Here is a 21,433-nt window from a genome sequence, read left to right as displayed (position 1 = left end):
AACAAATTCATTACCCCAAAACTTAGTGGCTTAAAGAAAAGGCATTTTTTTTTTATCTCACAGTTTTGGTGGGCAAGAAATTCTAGAGTGTTTTATCTAGGTGGTTCTGGCTCAGAGTCTCTCATGTGGGTATCATTAAAATATTAGTAGGGGCTGCAGTCATCTGAAGGCTCAACTGGGGCTGTAGGATCCACTTACAATATGGCTGTTGGCAAGATCTCCTACCTTAGTTTGTGATCCAAGAGAATGAATAAAGAACAAGATGTATTGCCTTTTGTGATCTAGTCTCCATAGCCAACACTGTCACTTCTCCTTTATTATATTCATTGGAAGCAGTCACTAAGTCCAACCTACATTCAAAGAGAGAGGAACCAGACTCTATTTATTAAAGGAAAGAGTGTTGAAGAATTTGTAGATCTGTTTTTAAACCACCATATAACCCATCAGTTAGAAATTCTCAGGTGGTATCAGCTTGAAGTAAATAGATCCTCTTTGCAGACTGCATCCAATTGGTTACCCAGCACACATGAACACAACTACCTATAACTACACAGTTTAAATCTATGTCAAATCATTGATCTCCAGAATGCCACCTACAGAATTTCCCTTCTACAAAATATGCACCTCAGTGACTCTAAAATATCAGAGATATAACGTGAATATATTAGAACTCAATGAATATTTGTCAAATTGAAGGGAGTTACAATATAAGAGATCCCAACCCAGGCTTTGGCAGGCAAGATCTGCTCTTGCTTTTTCATAACTCCTTCACTAAAAAAAAAGAAAAAAAGAAATGAGGATTTATTCCAACCCACACGATAAACAGAGTAACCAATTTGGGTGTATGAGGGGAATTTGCTTGGCAGATAGCAGAATTACAAATAACCTCTGTTTCCTACCACCAATCTAACATGGTGTTCTCAGTTTAAAGAATTGGAATATTCATTTATATTCTGATGTTCATGAACATAAATGAAGTCAAACCCTAGTCTAGACAATCTTTATGGCAATTGCCAGAATGTTTGGGCTCATCTCAGATAATGTGTCTATAGCCTCCTCATGATTCCAACCCTGAAGGGCTGTAACATAACCAAGCCCATTTCATCGGAGTTTGTTTAAAGCCTAGTCCAAGGCATCCATTCAGTGAACATTCCATAAGGGCAAAGCTGATCTCAGGCAAAACAGTACCTTAGCTAAAGTTTGGATTTGCTATACCCATTTTCCCTCTCCACTTCCACCTCACTCAGGACCATTCCAAGCTGGGACGAGGAGATTGGTAAGATATGAAAGAGGAGAGGGAGATGACTCTCTAAGAAGTCCCAGCTACGCCACTTCCTAGCTTTGTGATTTGTGCAAGATTTTTGCCTTTTCTGAGATTCGATATCATCGTTAGATAATTCAGAATTTGAATCTCTATAGATAAGGATAATTTTCCATTGTTATCAGTTATTTACAATTTACAGAGTTGTAAAATAGCTCCCACAGAAACAAAAGCGGATAACCAGAATGATAAGCTATAGACAGTGCATACTTTTCATATGGCATAAATTTCTCCTTACAGACATTTGAGATTTAAAAAGTAACAATTGTTTCATAAAATGTCAATTTTTTTTAGCTGTTAGCCAGGGACATGTAGAGGTTAAAATACACTTAACCAAATGATAATAGGTTAGGTGGGGCAAACAGGCTTTGTTCATTTCTAGGACATGGTAGTACCACCCTGTTTCCATCCTGTGTTAGTCAGTCTTGGATGTGGAACTTGTGAACAGATTTATAAAACTTCTTTCAACCTGAGTAACAAAAGACTCTTAGAATCCAAGTCTATGGAAGATAGACCAATGGAAGATTGTCTTCCTTTGAAGACAAAAGAAAGACCAAAAGTGCTCCTCTTTAGCAGGAATTCTAACCAAATGAAACATTGGCTGGGTTCAGGTTCAGTTTAAGGAATGTTTTGATGTTCTACTTCATTGGAAAATATACAGGTTTGATTCTGGTTTGAACAAGTTTGCTAGATATCTATATCTATATCTATATGGTCAAATTCATGGTTCAGTTAATAGCTAGGTTCATTCTGACTTGAGGTTTAGTAAATTGATGCTATTTGGTCTGTAATTTGTGCTATAATTTGATTCTTTATTCCTTAGTCTTTAGACCTTAAGTTGTCCCTTTCCTGTTCTGCCCCATGAATAAATCAAATCCTTCTACTTTATTTCCTTCAAGTTCAATCCTCACTTCTGCCAATATTGAGTTTGCCCCAAATGGAATGTCTGTTGCTAAGCCCTAAACTCAAGTTAAGTAAGGATTTTGTTGTCTATATAATATTTCTGTAAGGAGCTCATTTTCACCGGGCAGAACTGATGGACTCTTAGAATCCAAGTCATATTAGCTATGTCTGTCTTTAAATCAGGCCATGGAACTGTGGTAAAAAAGATAAAATCTGAGCCCAGGAGGCTCCTATGGGATATTTGAAAAAAGCTTATGCAGTGCCACACTTTGATTAACCCCGGACTTGCCATTTTGATGAGCGAAGGTAAGCCTGGCTTCAGAACTAAAGAAAGACATGTCTCTCTCTGTTTCCATTTCAGCCATTAATGTGTTAATTTTCCCTTTATGTAACTTTGTCCCCAGTTGAATTGAATTGAATTAAAAGGACAAAATAGCTAGTTGCTGGGAAGGAATCTTTCTCTTTCTTTCTTTTTTTTTAAGGAGCCCCCGAAGGAAGCTAATTACCCACCCTGGTAGGCTGAGAGAATTGTAATGTGATAATTAGTTTGCTATTCTTCAACAGTAAGTCATTGTTGTAGCAATCCAATGTTCTCCATTCCCCTTCCCCCAACTCATGTGCACCTATTTCTGAAAGTCCGATCTTTTCCGTTCCCAAATTCATAAGAAAGAAAGCCTTCTCTAACAAAATATACAGCCTTTAGAAGGGGAGGTCAAGGGACACAAAACAGCAGGGTTCATGAAAGACCTGTATCCCAGGGTCCTTCTTTTCTGAAACTAGTAGGCTGCTTTGGGTTGCCTAAGATAGAGGGACTTGGTCATTCTGACCTTCCTGAAAGTGACTGTCTAGACCAGCTCTGCTCAATAGAAATAGAATGTGAGCCATAAATGTAAATCATGTATGTGATTTTACATTTTCTAGTAGCCACATCTTAAAAAGTTAAAAAATGGGCAAAATTAATTTTGACATATTTCATATAATGATACATTCAAGATATTATCATTTTAACATATAATTAATGTAATAAATTACACATTCTTTGAAATTGAGTTGTATTTTACACTTACAACGTATCTCAGTTCTGACTAGCCGCACTTCAAATGTTCAACAGCCATGTGACTATTGGCTACTGTTTTAAACAGCACAAGAATACCTTTCTTCTCTAGCTAAGAGAGATTCATGATAACAATCTTTTTACGTGAATTAGATGCTATGCACTTTGCAAAATATTTCCAAATCTATTACCTCAGTTGTTCCTCATAATTGCACTATGAATTAAGTTGGAAATTGATAATTATCTTTTTTTTTCATTGGGGAACTAAGATACAAAGTTTAGGATCTTGGGATCTTCCATGTCACACATTACTTAGCACCCAAGAGCCAGAACATCGCTCTCCTGACTTCCCAACAAGCATTATTCGCAGTGTCCCACTGACACACAGTAGTTAGTATGTGGGATGTGCTGTCTGGTGAATGCAAAGGTCTACGTTGGATGGTCCTTGCTTCTTGGCTTCTTTTCCCCTTCTCCCATCTCCAGGCTAGGGAGGTGGAAAGGCAAGGGGTGGGTTGGTGTCTGTGTCATTTCCTTTGTGCTGCTTTGAGCAAAGTCCCACAAGTAATTAGGTGCCTTTCAGTGCTACAGAGCACTGAAACAAGACAGCTTAGACATTCCTTCAGCTCCCCTAGCTCCCCTACCAGCAACTCCAAAGGGAAGTGGTGTCCTTGACAGAGCTGTGGGAAGAGAAAAACTTCCCCAGTTCCTCCTCCAATCTGATTCTTCTAAAACCTGCTTAGAAAATGATTGGAGCAAGCAGTATAGTGGGTGCCAGTGAGCACCCCATAGTGCATGGTATATGGTGATATTTCCCTACATGAGTCTTATCAGCCAGTCTTGGCTTGGGACTTGTGTTTACATACAACTGAATGTGCAAAGTACCCCTCTAAAGTACTTAGTAGTGCTAGGTGCTATGAAGAAAAGGGATGTTAAGATGAATTCCCTGCCACTAAGAAATTTATGATTTATTTGGGTAACCAGTATACATGTAAATTTTAAAAATATATTTACAAATACTTATATAGCTCCTATTATGTGTCAGGCAACTGTTCTAATCGCTTTACTTGTATTAACGAATTTAATCTTTACAACAACCTTGTGAGGCAATTACTATTATCCCCATTTTGCAGATGAAGAAACTGAGGCATACAAAAGTTTAGTGACCTGCCCAAGATCACACAGCTAGTAAGATGATAGAACTGGAATTTAAACCCAAGCAATCTGACTCCACAGTCCACAATTTTAACCACTGAACCATTAATGCCATGTTAATGGTAATAACTTATTTAAATGCAAAATGCATAATAGATACTGGTAGTAAGTATTATGGGAACTATTGGAGTTCATGGGAGAGAGCTCATTAGGGACTAAGGTGCTAAGGGAGGAATTCCTGGGAGAACTGGAACTTGAAGAAGGGCTATATGTAAATTGATAAGGAGATGGATACTTCTGGCTGTCAGGGAAGCATGAACAAAGGGGCAGAGGTGGTGATGAATATGGCTTATCAAAGGAGGCTCTTAACTCTACCTCTCCAGCCCCGATCTTCCTTCTGGATGTCAGACCCATAATGCCTACTAAACAATCCTGTGTATATGGCTTATATGTGACAAATACAAGCTATCTAAAAATCAAAAGCATTTCCACCTCCCATCTCTTTGTCTGACAATAGAATTATCATGCTTCCCGGGTTCAACACCCTGGTGCTATTTTTGACTTCCCACTCATTAATCCTGCATACCCACTGTGTGCTGTTGTTATCATTGTTGGACATGTGAACCATCTCCATGTGACTTATACAGCAGTCCTTTCCTTTCTCTTATGACCTGATGTCTCGATTATTTCGCAGACTCCTTAGCAATATTTCTGCTTCAAATCTCTGTCCACTTATCCATGTGGTGTGGTGCCACCACATTTCTCATCCTAAAACACCATTTTCATTGTGCTACTTCCCTGCTCCAAAACTTTCAGTGGCTCCACACTGTTCATTGACCAACACAGCTTCCCCTGCCATAATAATGCTGAGAGGGTAAAAAGAGAGAACAGGATAGGGCCAATCATTTTGCTTTGGGGAGCACAGCAGTAAAATGCAAAAAAAAAAAAAAAAAAAAAACAGAAATAATAGGCTTCACCTAAGGAAAGCTTCGATTATCTGATACTTGACCAACTAGCCAAAGAACTAGCCCTCAGCCTACATAGAATGATATCTCATCTCTTGTGGGCTAGGATTTCCTAACTCAGTGCCTATAAATTGAATACTTACTCAGTGCTAGTAGTGGTGGTAGTAATATTGACAGAAAATACAATTTATTGAACTCTTTTCTATGTGGCAGGCACTTAGATAAGCATTTTATGTATAGTCTGCCATGTAATCATCAAAACAGCAACAATTGAGATAATTATTATTCAAATATTACAGATGGGGAAACTGAGACTCAGAGAGGTTAGGTTAGCCCCAGGATCACAAATCTAGGAAATGGCTAAGCCAGGATTTAAAACTTTGACTGATTCCAAAGCCTGTGTTCTTTTCACAAATTAAGAACAGTGCAGTTTATCCTAGTCCCTGCACCAGGAAAACCAGCAGTCAGCGTTGACAACAGGCTAGCTCCACCAGAAACATGTTCTGTTTCTCAGTAGGAAATAAATGTTGACAGCATTGTCAACCCTGAGAAAACAATTCTGGCACTTCCATCAGCCCCTCTACAGATGTCCTCTTCTTGAGGGAAACTCATCTGTGTCAAAATATTGCAGGATTGGGTATATACATTTGTTTTGTAACAAGGAAGACTCTTACTTCTCCCCCTTATTTAAAGGATTCATAACTTCATGCTGTCCAAGATTCCGTAGGAAATATATTTAAAATTCAAATTCCATCTTCTGAAGTTACAGTGTCTCACAACCTACAATTGAATTTGGCTTGAGAGCAAACCCTATGATCAAATCATTGAAGAACTATTCCCAGGCTCTCAGTTCTTGCTCCCCTAATGGATGGGTCTAGGGAGAGGGACAAAAGCTTTTCCATTGAGCAGAAACAATTAGCCAAAGCAATCCAGACACCCTGCCCAAGGGCTCTTTGGAATGTATTTGTGAAAACCACAGGGTCTGTCTCTTCACCTTGTTCTGAAGTAAGTTGAAACCACCTTGGATCCACTTGGATGGCCTTCCAGGAAAATTCCCTCTATTTGTAAGGGGAAAACAAGGTATCTTTGGACTGGAATGAATAAAATCTTAGAGCATCTCAGTATGAGAAAAATGAGGAAGTGGCAGAATTGTGTGTTGAGATCTCCCTCTGCAAGGCATTAGGGAGTTACAGAACACAAGACAGAAAATGAATCACTAGAAGTTCACAGTGGGAGGTATGTGGTGTGCTAACTTTAAGGAAATTTTGAAATAGAATCTGTGAGCAAGTCCAGAAGCCACTATCCAGTGAGAAGGGGCAGAGTTTATACCATTTACGCAAGCCATACCCTCTCTGAGCCCCTATATCCTTGTTAATTGAAAGGAGACTAGTAATACCTGGCCACCATCTCTTAGAGCTATCAGGAGAATAATGTGAGTTCATGTATGGTAAAATGCTCTAAAAATAACTGCAGAAAAACAGCTGAAATTATAAAAAGGGCTCTGAAATTATTATCATAGCTCTTTTGATAAACTGGGGTTGTTTTCAATGAGCAATATTTCAAAATGACATCAAATAAAAACCACGAGGCTTGATTTTGAGTTGGGCTCAAATGTTGGGCTTAGGATGGGAGGGAAAGCCAGGGCTAAGTGAATGAGCATTAACTTGGTTTGGTCTGTGGTCAAAGGTTGGGAGAAAAGTAGATGCCAAGCTGTCCCTTTATTTTCTGTACCATTCTGGTCATGCAAACTTGAGCCCAGAAAGTATAATGACTCATGTAACCTGCTGCCTAGGCAGCTCTATAATTGCTACACCTGGGGCCTCTTATGCCCAACTTGTACTCAGTTGCTTCCTAGTTTCCAGGAATTGGTCCAGCCTCCCAGACAAGGGTATCCACAGTTTGGGAGTTTAGCATCCACTCTGCCTGGCTAGTGACCCCACTCTGTCCTTGGCCACTCGCACCAAAAACTGGACTCTCTCATTGTTCTTTGGGAACTAACCTCTCCCTACCCCATCCACACACATACCCCTTATTCCTCATCCCCCAGGGACCCATTTTCCCCCATATATTTAAATCTCTGTAAATCTAGATAAGTCAGCCTAGTTTCTTTACCAACCATCCTGTTTGGGCTTGTCCTGTTCCATTCTGACAGGAAAGGCAGACAGAGCCAAGGAGCTAAAGATGAGTACAAAGGCAAGAACAGGCATAATCATTCAGAGGAGCCAGTGAACCAAGACTGCAGGACCAAGCTTGGCAATTGTGCTGCGTAGCTGAAGGGCACCAACTGAGAGGGTTGACAGGCAGGGCATAGATACTATCTTCCCAGAGAACTCTGTAACATGAGGGTAGTTACATGTCATGCTAATGCTCTGTCTGCTATTGTTTTATGACACTGTGTATGATACCCAGCTGGTTCGGTGAATGAAAGAAAGCTCTTGCTAACCACTTTCTAAATCTAAACCAGACAAATAGTATAGAAGCCCTGAAGATGGGTGTCAGCTCTGGTGTCTATCTTCTTTTCATTACTTTCTCTTTTCTCAGCCACAACTTTCACCCTCCTCCCTAGCCTCCATCAGAAAATTGTCACAGGAAGGAATTTCAGAAGCAATTATTATTATTATTTTTTAAAGAGCCTATGTTAGCAAAAACAAAAAAACCATATAGGCTTTGGAATCAAAGAGACTTACATTCAAATCTTGTGTTTGCTACCCCTAGCTGGAACATGTGTGTGCATGTGTGTGTGTGTGTGTGTGTGAGAGAGAGAGAGAGAGAAAGAAAGAGAGAGAAAGAAGAGTGCCTGACCCATCATAGACACTCAATAAAGAGTAATTTTTATCCTATTTTTGTTGATAAGATTGAAAAGGTGGCCTAGGAGATAGAAAAGTTTTTGATGCCCCTTGTTGCCAAGGGGAAAAATGGACTATAAAAGAGTTGAAAGAGATGAGAGAATTTGTACCATATATAAATAAAAGGTCAGAACAGTGAGACAATGCTGTGGTTCTGAGAAGGGAAATGAGAAAGAGAGACAAGTTAAGGAGAAGATCCACCAAGGCATTTCCTAATTGCCGCTTAGAAATGAAAGCTCAGAGACAAGAGCTAAGGATGGTTAGCAAAGAAGAATAAAGGAAAATGAAGGATATCAAACAGTGGTGCCATTTCCAGCCACTCTTAAAATGAAATGTGGATCTACATGGATTTACCAATCCAAGGACACAAAGTTCATCAGACCCTATTTGTATTATTTCCTGCTGCTTCTTTTACTTGACATTTATGTGAATTGGCTCTAGAATCCATGTCAAATGGCACCTTTCCAGATTTTTTTCCCCACAGAATCCATAGACAAAGTGTGCACTTGAATACATTTTATCTAGTCTGTAAATGTAGGGCCTCCTTTAGCTTGTAATGAATCTACATTTAACTGTGCAAGTCTACATTACTTAATTTCTCTATGTCCACTTTTGGATTTCATTCTACCAGGGAACTCTGGGAACGTCTGACAAAGTGTCTGCATTTTTACAACAGTGAAGTGAATGGTAGTTAAATTATTAAAAGCTGATTTCCAAAATGCTTGTTGAATGTTGATGACAAAATTAAGTCCTTTATTTACAGACAGCTTAAGATTAATTCTTAATTTTAAAAGGGAGAGTAATGGGTGGAGGGGAATTGGGAACATATATAAACGTACACATATGCAGAGAATATATAGAGAGGCTATAAAGCTTGGCTAACAAATACTGGGACACTAGAATCTGTAAAGTATATAGCAATCATGTAAAACAAAATGCCAGAGGAGAACTTACCGGGGTTGCCCACCACTCAGACTTTATGGCCGAGGTCACAGCTCTTTTGGAAGAGTTCTATTGTGTCAGCTCATATAGGTCTCCAAGATTGCTTCTTACCTTGAGTGCGACAGGTCAGGTCCTGCTGGGGAAGCCCTCAGGCACTGTAGGTGGTCCATTAACTGTTTCAACTATTAACTCCTTCATTTCCTACAAAGAGTAATTGACTGCTTTGCCCCATTGCGACTCCACAGACTCTTGCCTTTTCCAAAGTGCATTTGTTATTCACAAAAAGCCTAGTGCCTTGACAAAGTCTAGTGCCCACATTCTTGGTGCTATTTGGCACAGGTCATGTTCTTTGGGTGGTTGTATGTATGTATGTTCTTTGGGTGGTTGTATGGTATATAAACACACTACTCTATGCTTATCTGGCCTCTAGGTCCCTATCTACCATGGTGTTCATTCTCTCCCTCCCCCGTGGCCTTAGTGAACCATCATCATCCCTCACCTGGATTAGTGCAATGTCTTCTAACCAACCTCTTTGCTTCTACCCTACCCCTTCCCACTCTACCCTCAGTCTTAACCAACCACAGCAGCTGGAGCTTTAAAATGCAAGTTTGATCATATCACTTTCAGCTTAAAATTCTTCTGTGACTCTCCTTCAGAAACCAAATGCAAACTTCTTAACAGGCTACACAAAAAGGCCCCCAGGGGCTGACCCTTATCCTCTGTCTCCAGCCTCATCTCCTGAAACTCTCTGCTGGCACCCTGTGCTTGAGCCATTATGAGTTACTTGCACTTCTGTAAACATAATGTATTCTCTCACACATTCATATCTTTGTCCCTGCTGGTGCATTTTTTTAACTTTTATTTTAGGTTCAGGGATACATGTGCACATTTGTTATATAGGTAAACTGCATGTCATGGGAGTTTGGTGTACAGATTATTTTGTTAACCAGGTAATAAGCATAGTACCTGATAGGTAGCTTTTCTGATCCTCTCCCTCCTTCCACCCTCCACCCTCAATTAGGCCCCATTGACTGTTGTTCACCTCTTTGTGTCCATGTGTTCTCATCATTTAGCTCCCACTTATAAGTGGGAAATTAAGTATTTGGTTTTCTGTTCCTGTGTTAGTTTGCTAAGGATAATGGCCTCCAGCTTCATCCATGGTACCGCAAAGTACATAATCTTGTTCTTTTTCATGGCTGCATAGTTTTCTATGGTGTATATGCACCACATTTTCATTATCCAGTCTATCATTGATGGGAATTTAGGTTGATTCCATGTCTTTGCTATTTGAATAGTGCTACAATGATTATACACATGCATGTGTTGTTATGGTAGAATGATTCATATTCCTTGGGGTATATACCCAATAATGAGATTGCTGGGTCAAATGGTAATTCAGTTTTATTATTATTATTATTGTTATTATTATTATTATTATTATTATTATACTTTAAGTTTTAGGGTACACTGAGGTAATTCAGTTTTAGGTTCTTTGAGGAACCACCACACTGCTTTTCACAATGGTTGAAGTAATTTACACTCCCACTAGCAGTGCATAAGCATTCCCTTTTCTTTACAACCTTGCCAGCATATTATTTTTTTACTTTTTTTTTTTTTTTTTTTTGAGACCGAGTCTCACTCTGACACCCAGGCTGGAGTGTAGTGGCATGATCTCAGCTCACTGCAACCTCCGCCTCCCTGGTTCAAGCGATTCTCCTGCCTCAGCCTCCCGAGTAGCTGGGATTACAGGTGCACGCCACCACACCCAGCTAATTTTTATATTTTTAGTAGAGACAGGGTTTCACCATGTTGGCCAGGATGGTCTCGAACTCCTGACCTTGTGATCAGCCTGCCTCAGCCTCCCAAAGTGCTGGGATTACAGGCATGAGCCACCGTGCCTGGCCAACTTTTTATTAATAGCCATTCTGACTGGTGTGAGATGGTATCTCATTGTGGTTTTGATTTGCATTTCTCTAATGATTAGTGATGTGAAGCATGTTTTCATATGCTTGTTGGCCACATGAATGTCTTCTTTTGAAAAGTGTCTGCCTGTTCATGCCCTTTGCCCACTTTTTAATGGGGTTGTTTATTTCTTGTAAATTTGCTTAAGTTCCTTATAGATGATGGATATTAGACCTTTGTCAGATGCATAATTTGCAAGTATTTTCTACCATTCTGTAGGTTGTCTGCTCACTCTGTTGATAGTTTCTTTCACTGTGCAGAAGCTCTTTAGTTTAATTAGATCCTATTTGTCAATTTTTGCTTTTTTTTTTCAATTGCTTTTGATGTCTTCATTATTAAATCCTTGCCAAGTCCTATGTGCTGAATGGTATTGCCTAGGTTATCTTCCAGGGTTTTTCATTTAAGTCTTTGATCCGCCTTGAGTTAATTTTTGTATATGGTGTAAGGAAAGGGCCGAGATCCAACCTTCTGCATATTGCTAGCCAGTTATCCTAGCACCATTTATTAAATAGGGAGTCCTTTCCCTATTGCTTAGTTTTGTCAACTTTGTCAAAGATCAGATGGTTGTAGGTTTGTGGCCTTATTTCTGGGCTCTCTGTTATGTTGCATTGGTCTATGTGTCTGTTTTTGTACCAGTACTATGCTGTTTTGGTTACTGTAGCCCTATGGTATAGTTTAAAGTCAGGTAATGTGATGCCTCCAGCTTTGTTCTTTTTGCTTATCCTTGCTTTGGCTATTTGGGCTATTTTTTTGGTTCCATATGAATTTTAAAATAGTTTTCCCTAGTTCTGTGAAGAATGTCATTGGTAGTTTGATAGGAATAACATTTAATCTGTACATTGTTTTGGGCAGTATGGCCATTTTAATGATATTGATTCTTACTATCCATGAGCATAGAATGTTTTTCCATTTGTTTATGTCTTCTCTGATTTCTTTGAGAAGTGTTTTGTAATTCTCATTGTGGAGATCTCTCACCTCCCTGGTTAGCTGTATTGCTAGGTATTTTATTCTTTCTCTAACAAGTATGAATGGAATTGCATTCCTGATTTGGCTCTCAGCTTGGCTGTTGTTGGTGTCTCGGAAGGCTAGTGATGTTTGTGCATTGATTTTGTATCCTGAGACTTTGCTGACATTGTTTATGAGATCAAGGAGTTTTTGGGCAGATAACTATGGGGTTTTCTAGATATAGAATCATATCACCTACAGAGATAGTTTGACTTCCTCTCTTCCTATTTGGATGCCTTTTATTTACTTGTCTTGACTGATTGCTCTGGCCAGAATTTCCAATACTATGTTGAATAAGAGTGGTGAGAGAGGGGCCAGGCGAAGTGGCTCATGCCTGTAACTGCAGCACTTTGGGAGGCTGAGGCAGGAGGATCATGAGGTCAAGAGATCGAGATCATCCTGGCCAATATGGTGAAACCCCATCTCTACTAAAAATACAAAAATTAGCTGGGCATGGTGGTGCATGCCTGTAGTCCCAGCTACTTGGGAGGCTGAGGCAGGAGAATCACTTGAACCTGAGAGGTGGAGGTTGCAGTGAGCCGAGATTGCGCCACTGCACTCCAGCCTGGTGGCAGAGCAAGACTCCGTCTCAAAAAACAAAAACAACAACAAAAAAGGGAGTGGTGAGAGAGGACATCCTTGTCTTGTGCTGGTTTTCAAGGGGAATGCTTCCAGCTTTTGCCCATTCAGTATGATGTTAACTATAGGTTTGTTGTAGATGACCCTTAACATTTTTTTTTTTTTTTTTTTTTTTTATTTTTTATTATACTCTAAGTTTTAGGGTACATGTGCACATTGTGCAGGTTAGTTACATATGTATACATGTGCCATGCTGGTGCGCTGCACCCACTAACGTGTCATCTAGCATTAGGTATATCTCCCAATGCTATCCCTCCCCCCTCCCCCGACCCCACCACAGTCCCCAGAGTGTGATATTCCCCTTCCTGTGTCCATGTGATCTCATTGTTCAATTCCCACCTATGAGTGAGAATATGCGGTGTTTGGTTTTTTGTTCTTGCGATAGTTTACTGAGAATGATGGTTTCCAATTTCATCCATGTCCCTACAAAGGATATGAACTCATCATTTTTTATGGCTGCATAGTATTCCATGGTGTATATGTGCCACATTTTCTTAATCCAGTCTATCATTGTTGGACATTTGGGTTGGTTCCAAGTCTTTGCTATTGTGAATAGTGCCGCAATAAACATACGTGTGCATGTGTCTTTATAGCAGCATGATTTATACTCATTTGGGTATATACCCAGTAATGGGATGGCTGGGTCAAATGGTATTTCTAGTTCTAGATCCCTGAGGAATCGCCACACTGACTTCCACAATGGTTGAACTAGTTTACAGTCCCACCAACAGTGTAAAAGTGTTCCTATTTCTCCACATCCTCTCCAGCACCTGTTGTTTCCTGACTTTTTAATGATTGCCATTCTAACTGGTGTGAGATGATATCTCATAGTGGTTTTGATTTGCATTTCTCTGATGGCCAGTGATGATGAGCATTTCTTCATGTGTTTTTTGGCTGCATAAATGTCTTCTTTTGAGAAGTGTCTGTTCATGTCCTTCGCCCACTTTTTGATGGGGTTGTTTGTTTTTTTCTTGTAAATTTGTTTGAGTTCATTGTAGATTCTGGATATTAGCCCTTTGTCAGATGAGTAGAAAGCTGAAACTGGATCCCTTCCTTACACCTTATACAAAAATCAATTCAAGATGGATTAAAGATTTAAACGTTAAACCTAAAACCATAAAAACCCTAGAAGAAAACCTAGGCATTACCATTCAGGACATAGGCGTGGGCAAGGACTTCATGTCCAAAACACCAAAAGCAATGGCAACAAAAGACAAAATTGACAAATGGGATCTAATTAAACTAAAGAGCTTCTGCACAGCAAAAGAAACTACCATCAGAGTGAACAGGCAACCTACAACATGGGAAAAAATTTTTGCGACCCTTAACATTTTGAAGTGTGTTCCTTCAATGCCTAGATTATTGTGGGTTGTTAACATGAAAGGATGTTGGCAATTCTAATGCCTAGAATACCCTTCCTATCCTCTCTGCCTATGTGTTGTTATGGGAATGATTCTATCTCTGATTCTTCTTTTTTTAAGGGCTTATTGAGATACAATTTACATAACATATAATTTACTAATTTAACATATGCAACTCAGTGGGTTTTAGTTTGACCACAGAGTTGTACAACCATCATCACTATTTAATGTCAGAATCTTTGCCTTCCCCAAAGAAAACTTGTACCCATTAGCAGACTTTCAAACTCCTGCCCTTCCTCCAACCCTTGGAAACCATTAATCTACTTTCTGTCTCTATTGATTTGCCTATTTCAGATTCATCTTTCAAGATTTCTCAGGTGTTGCCTCCTCTTGTTTGTCTTCCAGGCCCCAGATTTCAAAGTCTGTTCTCTGAATTCCAATAATACCCTATGCAAGGCTATGTCTTAGCGTTTATTTCACTGAATTCTTGCCTGCCTCCCCCAGGAAGTAGCTTACTCCTCTCTGAAACCTTGATGTCTAACACTTTGTTTGGCTCATAGGTAGAGCTCCATAGCTACTGGCTAAATGAAAGAATGACAGGGAGGAGGGCTTCTCAACGAGTGGGTGAGAGATGAGTGAGGATATAAGCCAGACAGTGAATGCTTAAGTGTCCATTTTTCAGCTCACTTGCGCTTAAATAAACTTACCAACCACTACACTGATGTCTCTTCCATCTCTACAGTTGATGTGCATGTTCCAGAACCTAGGGAAATATTTCCATAAGTGGTGCAGAAGGAATGTATCCTCAGGAAATATTCATGATACAGCAGTTTAAGCTTTACCTATGGGACTGACAGGAACACTATCAGGCCATCTTTCTGCTTAATGTTTTCAATTTTCTATTTATTCTCTCTGTCTCCCTCCCCCCCACTCTTTCTCCCTCCCCCTCTCTCTTCCTCTCCCCCACTCTCCACACACCCTCAGGATATTTGCCTTTGTTTTTAAAGCACATTTTAGAATATCTCTGTTTAACAATTTAGGTCTTAAGATTAAAAAAAAAATACTTTAGTATGAAGTGTCTGAACAAGAATCCACTTTGAAAGCTGTTTAATTGTTCCATTTTAATATTCCACTTTTCTTTCTTCATGATTGGATATTAAAAAGCTCATTAGCAAGGGAATATAAAACAATTTAGCAACACAATAGAATATAAAGATGTTTAAAAAGAAACTCTGATTTTCAGCATTTTCTTGGCTAGAGCCAAATGTGGGTGAACCCTGACTCTGGCTACCATTTTGGATCTTTATGTGTCTCTATGCCTTTCTTCCTGTTTCAACTTCCTCCTTCTCTTTTAATATCTTATCATCTTCCTTGTCTCTTTTCTCCTCCATTCCCAATCTCTTTGTCATTCTCTCTTTTTTGATTTTCTCCTCTGCCCATTCTGCTGCTTGAGCCTTCTTTTAATGTTTCACCTTCTGTTTCTCCTCCACTGTCTCTTTCATTCTTCCTGACTAGCCTATTTTCTCTTTCTTTCCTCCTGTTCTTTTCACACATGCAGAATGAGGTAGGAAAGGCACAATGGTGTGGCATGAGCAGGAAAAGAGAGGGGGAGAGACTAACAATGGGGCTGTCTTTCACCTACCCCATCATCTGGCACCAAAGGAAATGTGCACTGGTCCAAATTGCCCATATTTCTTCCCCTTTAAGGTAAGGCACATAACCTCTCTGTGCCTCACTTTTGTCCTCTATAAAATTAAAGCAAAATAATACCTTCCCAGACTACCTCCCAGAGATGTTAGGGGCAAACCTGGGAATGAATATGAAAAATGTTTGAAAAGAAACAGACCCCTGTGATTGGGAAGCACTGAGGAGGAAAGGGTGGGAGGATGACGGCCTTGCACTGCATAGGGATCCAATTAACTGAGGATTGCAGTTCTTGCCCTTTTGAGGAATGTGTTTCTTTTCACCTTTGTTCTACTCACCAAATCACTTGGTTGTCTGTGTACCTTGTTTGAATGTTCTTAGTGTCTTCTGAGGGGAAGGATAACTTGCTCCTTTGTATGCTGTTGATTTTTATCCCTTCCTTTTCTCTTGCTTTGGGCTAGCAAACGGAACCTCCAGCAGCCAGCTCTCTACCCCCAAGTCTAAGCAGTCTCCCATCTCTACGCCCACCAGTCCTGGCAGCCTCCGGAAGCACAAGGTATTATGTCTCTTATACCTTACTAAACCTCTTTGCACTCAGTTTCCTGAATGGCTTGGTGAAGGTTTTCTCTTCCATTCTAACTCAACAGCACATTAAGGCCAGAAATTTTCTTCATCTGGCTTCATTAGCTTGAAGTTCTGCGAATCCAAGCAGGGAGCAAGCTTCTAGTCACTTTTATTTATTCCTCCAATTCCTGACTTATTTCCTGCTACATTCTAGCACTTCTTCCAAAGGGTTTCCAAAAGGTCTCCAAAGCTAATGAGGTAACCAAACCATGCTTTGGGACATGGGTTGAACACTTGTCTCCCCAGTTCAGAGACATAGCAAAGGGGGTGTTCAGGGCACTTTATGTCACCAGGCACCAGTCAGTGGAAATAACAAAGATAGCAGTCCCAAAAAGTTGCACTGAGTTACTTACTCCATTTAGATTTACTGGACATCAACAAATGAATAGCTCCTACTTTTGCTGTGCACTTTTCATTACCAGGCAGATTCTGATGCTGAATAGGAAGAGAGCACATATACACATTGCATTGGCCTTGGCCACCATGTATACCCCTTAAACTATTCCAAATAAGTATATCATTAAATAACAAAAGCACATAAATTCCCTAGCCCCGCTATCCAAACAGATTCTCACCCAGAAATCTCTGTGTAGAAAATGTGGAGTGGTTACTGCCTTGAATCTCTTATACCTAAGGCAGTGTTGATGTGGCTTCTTCTCTGATTACCATACTGTGGAGCAACTTCCTCTAGCCTTCTCTAATCTTTCTCCTGCTCATAAGACTTGGTGTGAGATGGTAAAAGGCAAAAAGCCACCAATATGACTAACTGCATCACAGAATCAGAGATGGTCAGAGCTGGAAGACACCTTAGATGGAGATAAATTAGTTTTATTTGATTCTCTAAATAATCTTATGAGGTTTGACATTTTACAGATGAGGAAATTGAGAGCCAAAAGGTTAAGTTACTTACTAGGGTAACATATCTAGCTATAAGAGTGGTACCCAAGTCACCACCAGTGGTGTGCCAGAGCCAGCTCACAGTAGGTGGTGAGAGCTGATTGTGTACATTGCTTCTCAACTCTGTATTGAGTGACATCACGTTTTTAACTTGAATTTGGCCATGGTGGGAATATTTACACCATGGACATTAACAAATACTATAAGTCAAGGTTGTTTTTTTCTCACAGCCAGTTGCTAAACATTTAATAGCATACCACTGCCCGACATCCATTTTCATTTTATTTTTTCTATATCAGTCTTTTAATTTCCTGGCTAATCTGGCTACTGCCTGCCCCATAATTTCTAATGTCTGTTCCATTGCTTTAATGGCCCCTTTAACTTCTGCTATTGAACCTTCCAGAACTTTCTGATTGTCCTGTTGAGCTATTTCATTTTACCAAAGAAGTATTTGCTGAACTCTGTGTAACCAGTGTTACCTAGAGATTATGAGATGGATGAAAATTATTTTTACAGTTGGCTTTTAGTTATTCTTTGCTGAGCAGTAAAGCTTGTAAATATGGACATGCCAAGATAGGAAGTCTACCTCTGTTGTTCCACTGTCCACACAGCACCTCCTATATGCCTTTCTGCCCTTACCTTCCTTTTGGTAAGCATGATTTACCCTAGCACCTTCCATTGGTACCTTCCCTAAAGTGTGAAGGCAGCTTGGACATTTGTTCTGCACACTCAAGTTATTCAGTTTTTCAACTGACATGTTCAGGTCATTTATGCTGAGGACCCATCATCCACAAGCCCACCAAGGTGAGTTGTTTGCATTGTTAAACTATTTTTCCTGGTTGGGCTTGCAGACACTTATAGCTTGTTTGTTTATTGACTCAATTCTAACCATTGAAGGACTAGAACAAGCTCACAGGTGGCAGCATTGTCAGAGCTTCACTGTTTTCTTAACTGTGGAATTTTCAGTGTTTCATTTTATTTTTAAAATTACTCTTTTTAAAGACAGTTAAGCAAGCAAATGTTAAGTAATACATTATATCATTTTCTAGAGCAAGCTTTTAAATAAAGTAAACATTTAAATTTGGTATAATTCTCACTATTTTTAAAGCTCTTTATTTTTATATCACTTCAAACTTACAGAAGAGTTGCAAAAATAATAAACAACTTATGTATCTCTTTACAGGGATTCACTAGTTGTTTATATTTTGCCTCATTTACTTATTTTTTATGTTCTCTCTCTCTATGTATAATATATGTAGACATAATAATACACAAATAAATACATATAGTACATGTTATTATTTTTTCTTTTATTTATTTTATTTATTTATTTATTTATTTTTTGAGATGGAGTCTCGCTCTGTCTCCCAGGCTGGAGTGCAGTGGCACGATCTCGGCTCACTGCAAGCTCCGCACTCCCGGGTTCAAGCCATTCTCCTGCCTCAGCCTCCCGAGCAGCTGGGACTACAGGCACCAGCCACCACGCCTGGCTAATTTTTTGTATTTTTAGTAGAGACGAGGTTTCACCGTGTTAGCCAGGATGGTCTCGATTTCCTGACCTCGTGATCCGCCTGCCTCGGCCTTCCGAAGTGCTGGGATTACAGGCATGAGCCACCGCACTGGGCCTATTTTTTCTGAACAATTTGAGATTAATATCACAGGCAAACATTATGCCCCTTTATCCCTCAATATGTCAGTATGTAGTTCCTAAGAACAAGGATTTTTTCTTCCATAACCATAGCATGATCATCAAAATTAGGAAATTTAACACTGGCACAATACTATTATATACTCTGCAGTCCATATTCAAACTTTATCAATTGCTTTAATAATGTTCTTTTTCTGGTCCAAAATCCAGTCTAGAATCACATGTTGCAAGTTCTCATGTCTCTTTAGTCTTCTTTAATCTGGAAAAGTTCCTGAGACTCTCTATCTCTCAGTACAGTATATTATAGAAATAAAAGGTCCAGGCCAGTTATTTGGTAGAACGCCTTTCAATTTGGGCTTGTCTGATGTTTCTCTGTGATTAGATTCAGATTCTGAATTTGGGGCAGGAATATCATAGGAGTGATGTTGTATCCTTTCAGTGCATCCTATCAAGAAGCAATAGTGTCATGCTTACACCACCAGTAATGAAGATTGAACTGGTTTTTCTGAATAAGATAAAAAGCTTGTGACCCTGTCTCAGTCCCCCTAGGTCTCAGGTCCTAGATTCATGCTCCTCCTTTCACACAGCTACCTGAACCTTAGCACCATCAAGTCTCTGGGCAGCAGGCCTGAGCAGATCTCATCTGAACTTCTGTCCAAGTGGACCTGAAAGATGTGAGTCATGATGCAGACAGGAAGCAGATGGCTGAGGCCATGACTTTCCTCCTGCACAACTGGAAAAAACTTGAAGTCCCAGCATCCCTTTGGTAATTTTTGATGGCTGTGGTGGGGCCCTAAGCTGTAATCAGCTTCTTGGCTTCTTCTTTTAAGCAGTTCATGGAGAATCTTCTTTAATGCAGCTGCAATGGGGTTAGCCAAAGTCCGCATACTTAAGTGTTACAATATGGACACGAAGTAAATCCTTGGATAGTTAATGAGAACAACATTTTGCATTTTCATACTGCTTTTTTCTATCGCACAGCCATTTTATCATTTACCCTTGTGATATCCCCGTGAAAGAGACAGGGCAGATAGCATTTCCCTTTTACAGATGAGAAAAAAAGAGGTACAGAGGAAAGACAGTCCCAGTGTGATTCAACAAAAATTTATTAAGGATCCCCTTTGAAGAAAGTACATAGTAAAGATTTTCAAAAAAAAAAAAAATCTAGAAACGTAAGGAAACTCTTTCATTTATTTAATTTTTAAATTTTCAGATCAGTGATTGCACCAATGGCTTGAAATTTAGAGGCATTTTGTATGCAAAGTTGTCTAGAGACTAGAGGAAAGTATATTCAACATATTATTTGAAAATATAAATAACATTATTTAAATATGCACTTTCCTCTGTTTCCAGACTTCTTTTGTCCTCTTATACGTGCTTGGAGAGGCCCTTTGATGAGTAAAGTAGGGTCCTGACCCTTAAATCACAGAAGGCAACTAACTCTAATATAAGTGGCTTTGGGTAGTGTGATCAAGAGCTAACGAAAGGACTGCATGAGCACAAAGGAGGGTGGGAAAGACGGGAGAGAGTGGGAGATGGGGAAAGCTTTTCACAGAGGTGACATTTAAGTGGCTGGTGAAGAGAACAGGCATGCCAGCTTTAAAAAAAAATTAGCAAGAAACAAAACCACACCATCATAAAAGCACAGGGCACGTTTGGGAAATAGAAAACCCAAACTAGAAGCCAGGTTTCTCAAAACTCCTCCCTGACTTCCTTTGGACTATAAGCTCCTTGGACCAGAGACCAACTTTTTGTTTTCTCTAATACAATAGTATCGCCAGCACAGCTGTATTTGTTACAAACATTTTGTTCTGTAGGGCTCCAAGGGAATAAGCAAATGAATTTCAGGTGCAAATTATTTGTATTGCTAAGCAATATGTGTGTTTCTGTATTTCTACATATCAATCAACAAAAACAGAATGTTGAGATAATTCCTTTTCCTGAACATTGTTCTACCCATACAGGAAAATACATTCTGAATACGAAATAAATTGATGGAGATACAGTGTTCAGAAGTTCATAATTAGGCCTAGTTCTATGAATTCTCTCCATCTTCTGCATCTCACGCCATTAATTCAGAGTCTCACAGCAGCTACAAGTGAAATCTCTTCAGGATTCTACCCTCAGGCCTTATCCCTGCTTCCTCTGAGATAAAGGTCTGGAACAATCTTCTCAGATAATTTTTTCCACCAACCAAGCAACTCCACTGAAGGGTCTGTTACATGAATAATACTAAAGCCCAGTGGTTCAGTGTGCTGGGACTCAAAGTGGCCTCCATATTATTAAAAGGTCCTTTTGTACGGCCTGAAAAATACCCAGGGAGTTCATTAACTTGGCAATGTCTGTACCATTTCTCTTGCTTTGGGGTAACTAAAGAAAAAGATAGAATGATTGCAGTTTATAGAATTTTGGAACTAGAAGGAACCTTAAAGATCTTCCTCAATTTTAAGATCTAGAAGCAAGGACCCTG

General features: G+C 39.6%; 1 protein-coding gene across 11 annotated transcripts in view; it reads left to right on the top strand.

Annotated features, from left to right (window-relative positions):
* Positions 1-21,433, top strand: part of DCX (doublecortin) — a 118,414-nt gene that overhangs the window by 83,201 nt on the left and 13,780 nt on the right. For 5 of the 11 annotated variants that reach the window (NM_178153.3, NM_178152.3, NM_178151.3 and 2 more), the window contains exon 6: positions 16,256-16,350. The exons of 3 other annotated variants lie outside the window; for them this stretch is intronic. In NM_178153.3, the coding sequence (NP_835366.1) occupies positions 16,256-16,350 (95 nt within the window). Of the gene's footprint in view, positions 1-16,255; positions 16,354-21,433 lie in introns of all 11 variants that reach the window. 3 more of the 11 variants (NM_001369372.1, NM_001195553.2, NM_001369370.1) reach the window with 1 other exon arrangement.

The sequence above is a fragment of the Homo sapiens genome, chromosome X (assembly GCF_000001405.40).
Source record: "Homo sapiens chromosome X, GRCh38.p14 Primary Assembly".
Classification (NCBI taxonomy): domain Eukaryota; kingdom Metazoa; phylum Chordata; class Mammalia; order Primates; family Hominidae; genus Homo; species Homo sapiens.
Note: the sequence above shows the minus strand (reverse complement) of the source record. Positions and strands in the feature narration are given on the sequence as shown.